Consider the following 15,845-nt stretch of genomic DNA (forward strand, 5'->3'; position numbering starts at 1 on the left):
GGAAGGGGTAAGATTTCGAAGGCAAAGATGTCTTCACTTGAATCTTGTCTCTGCTACTTTCTACCTATGCAGCCTTAGGGCACTTGATTTCAGAGCCTCCAGTTCACCATTTCTGTAATAAGAACAATATACCTATCAGATACCTCCATGAAAAGAATGAAAACTACCCTTGTTAGGAAACAAATCAAGCATAAATGAAAAGGTATGTCTTAAGCCCATCTTGGTGAAGGTGAACACCTTGTATGATGATGATTACATTGTATTCTAGTATCAGGTTTATATTGTCTGGATATTAGACAATTTGTTCCTGGTCCGTGTCCGTGTTTCACAGTCATAACAATTCTGTTATCAGCTAATTTTATTTAACAGGATATTTATATAACACTATGTGCCGAACACCATTTTAAGTTCTTTGTAAATGTTAACTTATTTAATCATCGTACTACTCTGTTTATTCTAATATCTGCACATCCTTAGAACATCACAGACATCTCGTGCTCTCCTCATAAAACCCTCCACTGTATCATCATTTCTACTTAAAGACTGAGTAAATCAAACGCATATACCTACGATGAAACAGCATCAAGTCTCCTAACCAGGTCTGCAAAACTTAGATGAAGTGCAGTTTCAACTCTGCACTAAAGAAACCCAAGCTGAACCTTCTCTTTTCAAGCCCTGCCTTCTTTTGGTGCTACTTAAAACTTTTTCTTACTGGCTTTCCATCTGTTATTTTTAGCTTGCAAAAACACTTTACTGTTCTTTGAAATGTCAGTCACCACAGCCCACAAGGTATAATTTTTGGGACAAGAGATTTTACCTCCATCTCTACATGTGTATTTTATATATTTCGTTTTCTGTGATGAACTTACCATGGTAGGTACTATTTTTTTTTTTTTTTTTTTTGCATAGGCGAAGTGTTCTAAGATGCTAGAAACAGGAGATGATGTTTGAATTCTAAGGTACACACTATCCTTTGGCAGAGGCAGAGGAAGTTGAAATTAATTGCTGAAGCTATGAAATGTTAAATCATTCAAGGGATATTAAATAATGTGGAAAACAACAATATTGTGAGGGGTTCTACGTATTTGGAATAGTGTTCAGCTTTCTGAACACATCATGTGGCTTTTGAAGTTACACTCATATTAATTTTGAGTGAGCATGGCAAAATATAACCATGACATTTTTCTAGGGTGACTTTTTCAAACTACAATTAAAATTTAAAACATTTGCTCACCTATCTTTCTTGTGAATAAAATAAACTCAGGGTTAACAGTTGCAATATCTTCATTAATGAGAAATTTTGCACGTTTAGTACTCTAAATTCTTGGTTATCCAGCAAGGTTTGATATTAAATTAACTGGATGGAAGAGTTGCAGAATTGTTAGAATGAGAGTTTTACTATCAGAACAACCTGTAAAATGTAGATTAATTCATCTAACAAATCAGTTTTGAGCATCTGCTATGTGAATACATACTGAGGCTACAATACAGTGGTGAGTAAAAACAATTATGCTACTTATTCTTATGGGTCTTACAGTTCAGTTGATAAAGCAGGGGATGGTAATAAATTATATGTAAATTTACAATTGTATTTACTATTGCAATGGAGAGGTTCATGGAGCTATTTTATGCTATGCAAGTATGTACTAACGGGAACTAACCTGGTCTGGGAAGGCTGACAGCATAGCACTGGGAAGGAGTAAGAATAGCTTTGCAATGCTTATCAAGAAAACCTAAAAATCCATACCCTTGGGACCAGCATTTCCACACTGAGGCATTTTTCATAAAGGAATAGTTCAGGTTGTGCTAAGCATTTTAGCTATTAAGACAAGGCATTGTTTTTATTACCAAAATATTGGAAACAGCTTATATATTCAAATGTAAATGATTAGTTACATTTATATTATAAATATTAAGCTATATGGACTATCAGAAATCTTTTTTAAAGAACATAAAAGTTTTTATTGTCATAAGAGATGTATAGTGGAAAAGATTAGGTTACAAAATAGTGAACATTAGAAAGGCCTTTACCTTCATCCTGACCCTACCCTTCCTAGTTACTCAATTTATTCTATTTGATTTCAAATGTATAAATGAGAGTAAAAGTTATAGCGGTTACTACTAGCTACCATTTAGCGCATGCCAGCCCTATGCTAAACATTTTACATCTGTTATTTCAGTTGATTTCATATAAACCAGTGAAATAGGTATTATTACATTTATTTCTTTTTCTGTATGGAATTTTTAAATGTATCAATACAGATGTGTATTCCCTATGCAACAAAGAAAGAATTGCTTCAGTGCTCCTGCTGTTTACCGTGAATTTATCTATTGCATTTTATCTAAGATAAATACTTTGTTCTCTTGCAACAGCTTTCTGTGAAGAGGGCTGCAGATACGGTGGAACGTGTGTGGCTCCCAACAAATGTGTCTGTCCATCTGGATTCACAGGAAGCCACTGCGAGAAAGGTAATCTAGCTTGTTTTATGGGGGATAGGGACAAAGATTGGTAGAAAGATTGATTCAGAAAGAATAACAGCTCTTTCTTTAGAAATAATACTGTGGGTTGACTTGATACATTGTGTTGTGACGGTGGATGGAGCTCTCCCAAAGTGGGTACCTTGCTTAAAAGCCTCCCACTCTCTGAAAATAGAGCTTCATTCGCCTTCCCTCCAACGATTTAATTTTAGCAAGGTCAAGTATTTTCTCTGCTATAGCTCAGTGTGCATTTTTAGTGCTAATTAGAGATAAAGCCTGATGAACTGACCTGCCTCACTTATCATCTACTGGGTAGCATCACACACAGTTATTAGAATTATAACAATCTGCTGTGTCAACGGAATCTAAATTAGCAGCACATGCTCCTTGCGTAAAACCACATTAAATAATTCCAGCAGCAGGTTTATTGGTGTGCTTGAGATTTTATTCTAATATTGGTTTATTAGGAACATTATCATTCATAGACCTGATAATATAAGCCAATTAGCGTAAGTAAGATTACATTATGTGCAACTTTCTATTTGCAATAAATGTTGTGTTTACATTTGGCACTGTTTGGTGAAATCCAACTCTTATTGATTGGAGAAGCCCTCCTATTTGTGTATAAGTGAAATTTGATGTTCAATGCCAATGTATGTGTCAGTGCAAACAAGGGGTTTATGACACGTAAAAGTGAATATTTCAGTTTGTTCTTCCATGTGTTTTGTTAGGGTAAAATCACTGCATTGTGTTTTTGTTCTGGCTCTGGAATGTCACACTTACTGCTTTTCATATCATAGCACAGAAAAATGGAAATAGGATGTCGCATTTATTATCCTTACTATTACATGACGGGGGAGGTGTCTTCATCTGGTGCCAGAGATATAAGCAAAGTTCTTGTTTCCTTTCCTTCATGTTTAGAAGCTTCTGAATTTAGATAACATTTTTTTATGTGCCCATTTATTATTTCTCACCCTGACCAACCTGTTATATTGCACTGCCTGTATATTTATGAGGCAGTCTAATCCTTTTAAAGACATGCCAAAAGGTAACTAAAATTGTTCAGTAAGGAAGTCAGTGAACAATATTTGCACCACTGTTTCTATATTTTGTGACATTATCAACAAATAAAAATATAACAAATAATAACTGTTTTTTCTTAAAAAAAACATATGAAAGAACCATGTACTACCTTTGCGCAGCGCAAGAGAATTACCACATAGAGCTAAAGAATTCTTGCTAAAAGCAAAGAAACTTAAGGGTAGCTTAGGACACATGTCTTTACTGAACTACATTTAATTTTAAGTAGGTTTTTTAAAATGAAAAAAAAAACAAAAACTAAAAGATTCTTACTGCTTCCTGTAGAACTGCTGTATTTCCCTAAACTGAATACACAGAATTAATGGGGAAAGAATGGTAATAATGATGCCAATAATCATGAATACTACTACTAATGATATGTCATTTATTTGCAATAATTGTTAGGATTTTTAAATGAATATTTTAAGATTAAACAAAGGAGTTAGATATTATTACTCTTATATGTAATCAAACTAAAATTTAGCTGGTGTAAGTAACTTATGCAATTATTAGAACTGAGAATAAAACACAGTTGTATCTCACAAAGCCTGTGTTATCAAACCTTGCATGGGTTTTTCAAGGATACTAGATGGATTTTTTATTAAAATACATATTCTTGGGCCACCTCTCCAAACTAGATGGAATATCAGGGGGTGGTTTCACGAATCTGCATTTTCACCAAGCACCTCAGGATATTTAACCATAGCAACTACTGTAACATTCTTATTTTTTTACATTAGAAATAACTGGAGGGAAACATTACCTTAGACCAGGGCCTGTGATCAGTAGCAGACCAGGAGGAATTGATTATGGTGTCTCATGCCTTCTTGATTTGTCCTTTGTCCTTTTCTCTGCTGAGTAAGTGGGTGATTGCATCAGTGCTTACAGTCTGGTTTGTAATGTGAAGTCAGAAAAATATAAAGGAGAAAATCAAGACCAGGGAAAAAGTTAGACAGAGATAGGCAAGCATGGGTCCCTATGTAAATATTAAAGTTGACATGGAGAATTGCATATTCTTGAACTCTTGCACAGTCATCATAAAGGGAAAAAATACAATAAAACAAGATTTCTCTGCATTTAATGCTATACTTCATCTGTAGCAAAGTCATTCCACTTAATATTGGCCAATACTCAAATTCTATCAGATTTTTCATGGAATGAATAGAGTACATAGTTTTCAGTCAGTTGTGTGCAAGGGATCTAAATAAATTATAGGCTAAACACTGAAAATCTGTGCCATTATCTTGTCTGAGTTATTTTGTCATGTTGATCATTAGCAATAAACATTAAATAAGTCTATTTGCCTTCAAATAGTTGTGCTAGATGCCTTGAGACTCATAGTGCCAAAGGAAAAATGCAAATGAATTGTGAATGTCTTGTGGCATGATTACACTAAATCTTTCATTTGATTTGTTTTAATTTTAAGACTAAGTAAATGGTCCCATTTGAGCTATATAGAATCCACTTATGTTTAGTCTGAAGCATGTTCTCTTATCCCCCTAGTTACTGGTTTTATTCATTGCTTGCAATATTCAGCCTTTCAAAATTCAAGTACACTTAGTAAAATCAGTTAAATAATTTGTTAAAGAAAATTCCTGTCTGATGTTAATAATCCCACTTGTGTTTGGTATGTAACACACAGATGAACAACTCTGCATTTACTTTCCATTGATGACATTTCAGTAACCTTAAACTTTTCATAACCCCCCTTAAGCAAACACTTTGCCTCCTTTGGTTTCTAAACAACGTATAATTCTAGTTCTTCTCCTACCCTTCAACTTCCTTCTCTGTGTGCTTAGTTTGATTTGGTTTTACAATTAGCATGGAGATGTGTAAAGAGAAAGATGAGTGAAGAATCAGTAAGAGGAGTAGTTTTGCCACTCTTAGGATGGAAAAGGGCTGCTGGTGAATGCTCTCTTCTCAACCTGGCTAAGAACTAAAAGGACAGAATGCCACACGGATGTAATGTAGCCACCTACAAAACAGCATGAAACAACACAAAGTCCTCCTAGAGAATTTTCACATGTAAAATCAAAGAGCTACACTAAATCCAGAGATATGTTAACTGCCACAAAACAGCAGAAAATCACCCTCTAAGAAGTATGTAAGACTAAGTTTTCTATTTGGTACTTTTTTCTATTTTTTTTTAGTGGCTTTAAACAACAAATGTTTATTATCTCATAGTTTCTATGGTTTGAAATTTGAGAGCAGCTTAGCTGAGTGGTTCTAGCTCAGGGACTTTTATGAGATTGCAGTCAAGATGTTGACTGGGCCAGTGATTGTCTGAAGGTTGGGGAGTCTGTTTCCAAGATGGCTCACTCATGTGGCGATTGGCAGGAGGCCTCAGTTTTTCATTTTGTGGGCCTCTCCACAGGCTACGTGAGAGGCCTTATAACATGGCCACTGGAATCCTGCACGTCAAGTGATGAGAAAGAGAGTGAAAGCAAGGAGGAAGCTGTAATGCTTTTTGTGACTCAATCAAATGCTGTTCACGTTGGCCACGTTCTGTTCCTTAGAGGAGACTCACTCTAGCCCACACTCAAGGAGAGAGGAATGAGGCACCACCTCTTAAAAAAACGATTGTCAAAGTATTTGTGGGCATATTTTAAAACCACCACACTGTGAACCCTGTTACTTATTCTCAAACCTTGGCTCTGATTTTAAACTCCTTGCTTTGGAACCTTTTCCATACCTCTCAAACTTCCCTTGAAATTTTCTGGTTTTAGTCTTTGACTCCCTACATCTTGTACTCTTGATCATGGAACAGGATATATTGTTTACTTATCTGACGTTGAACAGCCACAAACTGGGATTCAGCTACCAGGCTGTGTGGAACTGACTGTGTGTGTCTGTGTGTGTGTGTGTGTGTGTGTGTGTGTGTGTGTGTGTGTATGGTCTTCTGTGTGTGCACATGCAGGTGTGGACTTGCACATCCAAACAGAGAAGAAGGAAGAAGGCAGGAGTTTATGGATGTGAATGTAGGTTGATCCTAATGTGTGTTCTTAATCCTTTTTTCAACTTTTATTTTAGATTCAGGAGTTACATGAACAGGTTTCTCACCTGTGTATACTGCATGATGCAATAAAATCCTAGATATAGGATGAGTAATCCTGTCACTTAGGTACTGAGAACAGTACTCAATAGTTAGTTTTTCAGCCTTTGCCCCCTCCTTTCCCACTCTAGTCGTTCCCAGTTTCTATCATCGCCATCTTTATGTCCATATTTACCTAATGCTTCGCTCCCACTTATTAGTGAGAACATGAGGTACTTGGTTTTCTGTTCCTGTGTTAATTGACTTAAAATAATGGCTTCCAATTTCATCCATGTGTCTGCAAAGGACATGATTTCATTCTTTTATTACTGTTTAGTATTCCATGGTGTATATGTACCATATTTTCTTTATCCACTCCACTATTGAGCACTTAGATTGATTCTATATATTTGTGAATGTCTACTGTGAATAGTGCTGCAACGAACATGTGAGTGCATGTGTCTTTTTGGTAGAAAGATTTGTTTTATTTTGGGTATATATACAGTAATGGGATTGCTGGATCAAATAGTAGTTTTAAGTTCTTTGAGATATCTCCAAACTGCTTTACACAGTAGCTAAACTAATTTACATTCCCACCAACAATGTATAAGTGTTCCCTTTTCTCTGCAGCCTCACCAGCATCTGTTGTTTTTTGACTTTTTAATAATAGCCATTCTGACTGGTGTGAGATGGTATTTCACTGTGATTTTGATTTTTATTTCTCCAATGATTAGTAATGTTGAGCATTATTTTATATATTTGTTGGCTGCTTGTATGTCTGTCATCTTTTGAGAAGTGTTTGTTCATGTCTCTTGTCAATGGAGTTATCTGTTTTTGCTTGTTGAATTGCTTATGTTCCTTATATATTCTGAATATTAGGCCTTTGTTGGAAGCATAGTTTGTGAAGATTTTCTCCCATTCTGTAGGTTGTCTGCTTACTCTGTTGATAGTTTATTTTGCTGTGAAGAAGCTCTTTAGTTGAATTAAGTCCTACTTGTCAATTTTTGTTTTTGTTGCAATTGCTTATGAAGAGTTAGGCATAAATTCTTTCCTAAGGCTGATGTCCATAGTGGTGTTTTCTAGATTTTTTTATAGGATTCTACAGTTTGAGGTCTTATATTTAATTCTTTAATCCATCTTGAGTTAATTTTTTGTATATGGTGAAAGGTAGGAGTCCAGTTTTATTCTTGTGCATATGGCTAGCCAGCTATCTCAGCACCATTTATTGAATAGGGAGTCTTTTTCCCACTGCTTATTTTTGTCAACTTTATTGAAGATCAGATGGCTGTGGGTGTGCAGCTTTATTTCTGGGTTCTCTGTTCTGTTCCATTGGTCTCTCTGTCTTTTTTTACAAGTACCATGCTGTTTTGGTTATTGTAGCCATATAATATAGTTTGTTGTCAGGTAGTGTGTGATGCCTCTAGCTTTGTTCCTTATGCTTAGCATTGCTTTGCTATGCAGTCTTTTTGTTTCGGTTCCAAATGAATTTTAGAATATTTTTTTCTGGTTCAGTGAAAACTTGTATCAGCAGTTTGATAGGAAAAACACTGAATTTTGTAGGTTGCTTTGGGCAGTATGGCCATTTTAATGATATTGATTCTTCCAATCCATGAGCATGGAATGTTTTTCCATTTGTTTGTGTCATCTATGATTTATTATAGCAGTGCTTTGTAGTTCTCCTTGTAGAAGTATTTCACCTCCTTGGTTAGATGTATTTCGAGGTATATTTTTGTGTGGCTATTGTAAATGGAATTGTGTTCTTGATTTGGCTGTCAGTTTGAACGTTATTGGTGTATAGAAATGATACTAATTTTTATACATTGATTTTCTATCCTGAAACTTTACTGAAGTCATTTATCAACTCCAGAAGCCTTTTGGTAGTCTTTAGGACTTTCTAGATATAGGATTGTATTGTGCATGGAGAGAGACAGTTTGACTTCTTCTTTTCCTAATAGGTTGCCTTTTATTTCTTCCTCTTGCCATATTGCTCTGGTTAGCACCTCCAATACTATGTTGAATAGGAGTGGTGAGAGTGAATATCTTTGTCTTGTTCCAGTTCTCAAGGGGAATGCTTCCAGTTTTTGCCCATTCAGTATGATGTTGGCTGTGGATTTGTCATAGATGGCTCCTATTATTTTGAGGTGTGTTCCTACAATGGCTAGTCTGTTGAGAGTTTTCATCATGAAGAGATATTGGATTTTATCAAAAGCATTTTCTGCATCTATGGAGATAATCATATGGTTTTCATTTTTAATTCTGTTTATGTATTGAATAACATTTATTGATTTGTATTTGTTGAACCAACTTCACATCCCAGGAATGAAGCTTATCTCATCATGGTGAGTTAACTTTTTCATATCCTGTTGAATGCAGTTTGCTAGTATTTTATTGAGAATTTTTGCAGCTATGTTCATCAGGCACAATGGCCTTTAGTTTTCTTTTATCATTGTACCTTTGTCAGGTTTTGCTATTAGGGTGATGCTGTCTTTGTAGAATGAGTTAGGGAAGAGTCCCTTTTTTTGATTTTTTGGAATAGTTTTAGTAGAATTGGTCAGCTCTTTGTATGTCTAGTAGAATTTGACTGTGAATCCATCTGGTCCAGGGCATTTTTGCATGGTAGAATTTTATTATAAATTCAGTTTTGGAACTTGATATTGGTCTATTCAGCATTTCAATTTCTCTCTGATTCAGTATTGGGAGATAATGTGTTTCCAGGAATTCATCCATTTCCTCTAGATTTGCTAGTTTGTGTATGTAGTGGTGTTCATAATAGCCTGTGCGGATCTTTTGTATTTCTGTGGGATCTGGTTGTAATGTCATAGATCAGGATTTCTTAACCTAGAAGACACTATTGACATTTTAGTTCAGATAATTCTTTATTGTGGAGGGCTGTCTTATGCATTGTAGGATGTTTAACATCATCCCTGGACTTTATCCATGAAATGTAATTAGCAGTACACCTCCAGCTGTGACCATCAAAAATGTTTTCATACCTATCACCTTAAACCTTTGTCGTTTCTTTGTGGTGAGAGCATTCAAAATTAAATAAAGCTTTTAAAAAGTCTCTAGTAAAATTAAGGAAAAATTCTCCAGACGTTGCCAAATATCCCCTGGGAGACAAAATTTCATCCCATTAAGAACTCGTGGTCTAGATGTAGCATTTTAAAAAGTCTTTTTAAAAAATATGCATATATATGTATATATATATATATATATATTATAGATAATCATGTCTCAGTGTTATTTGATAATAATATGAAAATTATAAGCTTTTTTTGACAAGAAAAACACTTAATAATCTCTTGAACATTTTTAGAAGTACTTAGGGTTTACTGTGATTAGAAAATGCTTAACCATTCAAGAGCCAGAGACTGGATGATATCCATCATGTGCTATGAGAGGCACACCTTCTTACAGTCTTAGGAACCAGGTTGGTATGGAAACTCAGCCTACTCTATGTTCACCCTCTCTCAATGGTGGAATAAACATGATTCTCCAACTCCACCCAAGGAACATGTGACTCCAAACCTTGTGTTCTCCTAAAGGAAGATAGTATACTTATCCTCTTTCTTAGAAGAAAAATTTAAATGTATGTAATAATGAAAGAATTTCTCTTATGGTGTAAGACTTAGACACACACACTTGTACATTTTTTTTTTTTTTTTTTGAGACAGAGTCTCACTCCATCGCCCTGGCTGGAGTGCAGTGATGTGATCTTGGCTCACAGCATCCTCCACCTCCTGGGTTCAAGCGATTCTTGTGCCTCAGCCTCCCGAGTAGCTGGGATTACAGATGTTCTCCACCACACCCAGCTAATTTTTGTATTTTTAGTAGAGATGGGGTTTTGCCATGTTGGTCAGGAGGGTCTCAAACTCCTGGCCTAATGAGATCCACCTGCCTCAGCCTCCCAAAGTGTGCCCGGCCAACACTTGTACATTTTAAGGAGAATTTGCACTGAAATGCTTTCTGTATTACAAAGCCACTCAATTAATCAGTTTTTTTGGTAGGAAATTGGACTGGGCTGTAAATCAAGTTATTTATTTATAGTGGTACAGACAAGCCTGCCAATTATACTACATTTCCACATTGTATATTATATGAATTATAGAGTGTATAAATACAATTGTGTAGATATCAGGTATCTATAACCAGTGATTTGTGAATCAGACTGAGAACTGGACACAACTACCCAAGTTGTAGGCTAGAACACAGTCTAGTATAAAATAATTGGAAAAAATATGCTGATGCTATAAAAATAGCAGACCTTGACTTTCTCCTCCACATTTGTTCAGAAATAGGTTCATTTACTGTAACTATTATTAAATAAACTCTCATAAGCTTTGAACCTCTCACAGTATCCAAGTGTTTTTGAAATATAGTAAGTATCTGATCAAGAATATTTAGGGATATCGGTAAAAAGCAAACAACTTTGAACAGCTTTGTTCATTCACAATATAATTTTGAGTGATTTTCTCCTGTTTTGCTTATATGATTTTCCAATTTTCAAAATAATACATTTAAATTATGTTTGTAATAACAAATGATTTTTAAAAGCTTAAAATAAAGAGAACATAACAGTCAAAATTTTTCTTAGTTACTTGTGATTTTTTGAACCTTTTCTAAAGGAAAAATTTTGCAGAAAAATTTATTCTACTCTCTTTTCTGTGCCCCGCGGACTTGCAGGTATGTAGACAGAGAGTAATAGTTTGCCTGAAGTATATTGTCAATTTACCAGGTAAAAAGAATGATCAGAAACAAAGACTTCTGTGCTCTTTCATATTTTATATCTTGCCTGTATTTTGAGAGATCCCTATCAGCATCCATCTATTGGTAACTGCTTTACCCATCCCTGTTACTGGGGGAGATTTTAAGAATTTTTAAGAAGGTGAATACTTATTCCCCTCCCATAACAGAGAATACAATATTTATTCTATTTCCTCTCCAGTTATCACAGGACTGTGGCAAGGGCATCTGGGGGGAGAATGAATGCAAAAGTACATCTTTACATCCATAGCAGACAGGAGAATTATTTAACTTTTCTCAATTTGAGCTTTCTCAGGTTGTCTGGCACATGATTACTTGCTCAGTAAATGGCAACTTCTATCATCAACGTTGCTTCTTTTCTTGTGCCTGATGCTCAGAAAGGAGTAAGCAGGGCTTCTATGGCATCATTGAAAAAGAGAAATATGAGGATTTGAGGTTTCTCTGCATTGCCCATTTAGTTAAACCCACTAGTAAAAGGAGGGTTGCAAATGCTCTTTTAAAATTCTATTAAAGTCAGGTAAATGTGAATATGGTTTGAAGAATTTCCTGTCCTGGATGTTTCCAGAAATTAAGAATGGCAGAAGAGAGGCATCAAACTAGAAGATGAGAGGAGCTTAAACCTGCTAAGACTGAGAGAATGTGATCATGTTTGGAGCAGCTGAGAAGTCTTGCCCTGTTCAGTAACCCCTTTCATCTCTTCAGTTCTACCCACTCAATGTTTTTCTTCTTTCTTGAATGACATCTCTGCTAAAGATCCAGCATACTTCCCTTGGATGAAAAATGGGGTTGACACACAGTTCTTAGAGTCACTTGAAGCTATTTCACAACCCTGTCCTTGATCCTGCAAGGATTTTCATCTTTCCAGGTTGCAGACATATGGAAAAATATCTCCAGCTGTTTTTACTCTCATTGTCCAGACAAACAGCACATTTTCAAGTCATTTCAATTAACTGGAAACATCAATGCCTTTTTTTCACAAACAAGAATTTGGACGAGAAAATAAAGATGCAGTCTAGTATACTGAAAAGAGTACTGTATTGATGATCAGAGGCCTGAGTTTTGATACTAAATCTGCCTCTGTGAAGTGAAATTTACATTAATCTACTATACATCTATTGTAAGCCCCAAATTTTGCATTTATTATTTCCTGTGAGGGAGTTACTTTTATCCTTTTGGACATATATGAGGACATGTATAAGTGTCATTCAGCCAGTCAGTAGTCAAGTTGAGATTCTAACCCGTGTATTGCTGAATCCAAATTTCATACACTTTGCTTTATAATCTGCTACCTCGTGATCATTTTGTCTGTGCCCAAGGGCAATTAAACTTAACAGATTATACAGGAGGTAAAGTAAATTATGTTTTCCTGTGAGTAATGAGCCATAATCTCTTATTTGATCATTTGCATTGTTTTACATATTCCTTTCAACATTTTTGTGCCTAAGACAGGAAAAGAGTAAACAAAAAAGGGGTGAAGAGCACAATCTCTGAAGTCACACTACCTTAGTTTTAGTTAAGCTGCCACTATTTACCCAGCTCTGTAACACTGGATCAGATTTACTTAACGTTTCTAAGTGTCGGTTTGCCACTAAAAAAAGAAAAGAGATGTTGATATTACTTACTTCATAATTTTATTGTGAGATTAAATGAGATATTGTACTTAAAATACCTGGTAGAAAGCCTGGAACACAGTGTCTAGAAATTGTAGCTAGTGATAACTTTAATTAACCAGGGGATAAAATTGAGACTCAGAAATAATAGGCTGCTTGCCCAAGGATACTCAGCAGGTAAACAGTAAAGCCATGTCTTATATTTATCTTTTGCTACTGAAGTCTCTCTCATTCTTCTATCAGTTCTTACAACCTCTCACTGTACAATTCAAGTGTAAAGTGATTTTATTTGTATCATCTTTCCAGCTCTATTCTCTCTGTTCCCACAAACATTTTATGTAACATCTTATCAAGCTAACAAAAGTTAATTTATGCAACAGAGTTCTGCTCTGGGGAAAGACTGAGCTGATTCAGCACCTGGAATAGTGGCATGTTTAACTTGGGTATGGTCCCTGGAAGGGATTTTTTTTTTTTTTTTTTTTTTTTTTTTTTGCTATTGTTTACTTCTCATCTCTTGGAGTTAAAATTGAAGATTTAACAGCAAGTTCTCACTGTATTATTGATAGCATGGGTGACTCTGTACATAGGAAGAGTTGAGATCTCATTCAAAAGGCTACCCACTTATCCTTCTACAAATATTTTCTTAGTTCTTCGTTGATTCCTCAAATTGAAGAAAGGCAAACATTCTAATTCTCAATTTGGCATCAGGAAACCTGGATTCTATTCTCCGATTCCACTACTCATCAGCAATGTGAATAGGGACAACCTCAGCTTTTCCATGTAAAATGGGAGTAATCATCCAAATATGTGGAAGGTGACTAATGGTTAATGCAGGCACAACTGATTTTTACAAGTGTTGCAAACATAGTTTAGTACCCAACTTTGGGACGTAGAAATCCTTAACAACTATTACATTATTGTCTATCAAAACTCTGGCATGGGAAAAATCAGATTTTTATATCTTGTTACATTACATTTGAATTCAGTAAACATTTGATAAATGAATAAATGAATAAGTATAGACAAGGACCCTCAATTTCACATGGTCCATTCTTTTGATTTTATAGATCTCAAGTTGTAATCACTTCAATTCAAACCTTATTGAAAAGACACCTAAGTTAAAGTATATTATATCAAGAATGGGGGAAGAAATGTCATTAACAAGAATAGAATAGAAATTTTGGTCTATTTCAAATAGCTTTGTCAGTCCACCTTTCCATAGGGCCCTTTGTAACTTTACCATTAATGAAGGGAGCTAGTCTTTTAAATAGATTGGCATTCTCTGTCAAATAAATAAAAGCTGTTAGAGATTACCTTGCCTATTTAGTAATGCAGAAAATAATTCTTGACTAAATGACAAGCAGATCCTGCTTCTCACCAAGCAAGCACACACTACTGAACTGTGAAAGTCAAGAGTTTGGTTCATATCCTCATTTTTAATCCTATATCCTGGGAAATACAAACACCACTGTAACTTTAAACACAAAGGATAAATAGGAAGAAAATCTAGCTTTCTGTGAAACCGTGAGCAACTGGAGCCCAGAAGTTACAAACTTTCCCTAGTAACTAGCCATAAGTCTTTGTATCCAAGAATATGCACTGCACTGTAAATCATGTGGAAAAAGGCTAATTGAAGCCAATAGCCTAACTCAGAAGGAATGTAACTCTTATGATTTGCATCATTTGCTCCTAGTAGGACTGACTGAATGATCAGAAAAAGTAGTTCCTGAAAATATTCACTTAGATACAAAGTATGATGAATTGATTAATCAAACAGCAAGGTCTATGCATTTATTATGGTAGTGTCTGAAACGATAAGCAGTATTCGGTTTTTTTGGGCTAACGTGGTTTTAAAGCATTTTCCAGTTTAAGAGAGACCTTGAAGTTATCTATGGGTGGCAGCAATTTCAGCTAAATAGGTTGAGTCCATGAGGGGAGATCCTGGAAGATTATTTTATTAAAGAATATCTTACTAAGAAAAACACTTCAGGACCTCCTCAGTGCTTAAAAGATAAAGTCCAACTTACATAATATCTAAAGACTTCCATAATTGGGCCTCTTCCTACCTCTCCAGCTTTATCTCCTACTTCTCCTTAAAGAAATCTTAAACTGCAGCCCATTCTAAACTACTTCAAGTCACTGAAATGCACCTTAATTTTTCAAACCTCTGAGCTTTTGTTTGGAATACTCTTTCTGACTATTACACACCTACAGATTTATATATGTATATATATATATAAATATATCTGTATATATATTTATACATAAGTATGATATTAATAAAAAGAATAGAAAAATTAGTTATTGAGTGTTTCCAGTAATCCAGAATAGTCCTGATTTTCCCCCCTCAAAATGCTTTTTTTACAATACCCAATATTACTAACTAATCAGTACCAACCAGGCCCGACCCTTTGGCTTCTCAAGATCAGACAAGATCGGGCATGTTAAGGGTGGTATGGCCATAGACTCATATTGCTTCTTCTAAGTCTTCTTTCATTATATTTGATGGCAAACTATAATCTTTCACATTCTCTGGGCTGAGGTCTTGAAATCATCTGTGATTTCTTTATTTTGCACTGCACATTCAAATTCTTTGGCTTAACTTTTAAAATATATCTTAAATCCCAACTTCATATGATCTCCACTGCTATCACCCTTTTACATGACAACATCATCATCTCTAATCTAGATGATGGCATAAAACCTCTAACTCATCCTCCTTCCACTGTTATGCACCTGTAGTCTCTTTTTAACATAGTAGCCAAGGGGACATTATTGAAACCTAAGTTATATCTTGTCATTCCTCTGCTTCACATTCTTTATAGCTCCCCATTTTCACTGCGTAAAAGTCAAAATTATTACAATGGCCTATAAGGCCCTAG

The 15,845-nt window shown here is 35.3% G+C and overlaps 1 protein-coding gene and 1 pseudogene across 4 annotated transcripts in view; one reads left to right on the forward strand and one right to left on the reverse strand.

The window, feature by feature from the left end:
* Positions 1–15,845, forward strand: part of NELL1 (neural EGFL like 1) — a 906,136-nt gene that overhangs the window by 698,929 nt on the left and 191,362 nt on the right. For all 4 annotated transcript variants that reach the window (NM_001288713.1, NM_201551.2, NM_001288714.1 and 1 more), the window contains one exon: positions 2,374–2,469. In NM_001288713.1, coding sequence (NP_001275642.1) covers positions 2,374–2,469 — 96 coding nt within the window. The remainder of the gene's footprint in view (positions 1–2,373; positions 2,470–15,845) is intronic.
* Positions 15,322–15,430, reverse strand: RNA5SP337 (RNA, 5S ribosomal pseudogene 337; annotated as a pseudogene).

The sequence above is a fragment of the Homo sapiens genome, chromosome 11 (genome assembly GCF_000001405.40).
Source record: "Homo sapiens chromosome 11, GRCh38.p14 Primary Assembly".
Classification (NCBI taxonomy): Eukaryota; Metazoa; Chordata; class Mammalia; order Primates; family Hominidae; genus Homo; species Homo sapiens.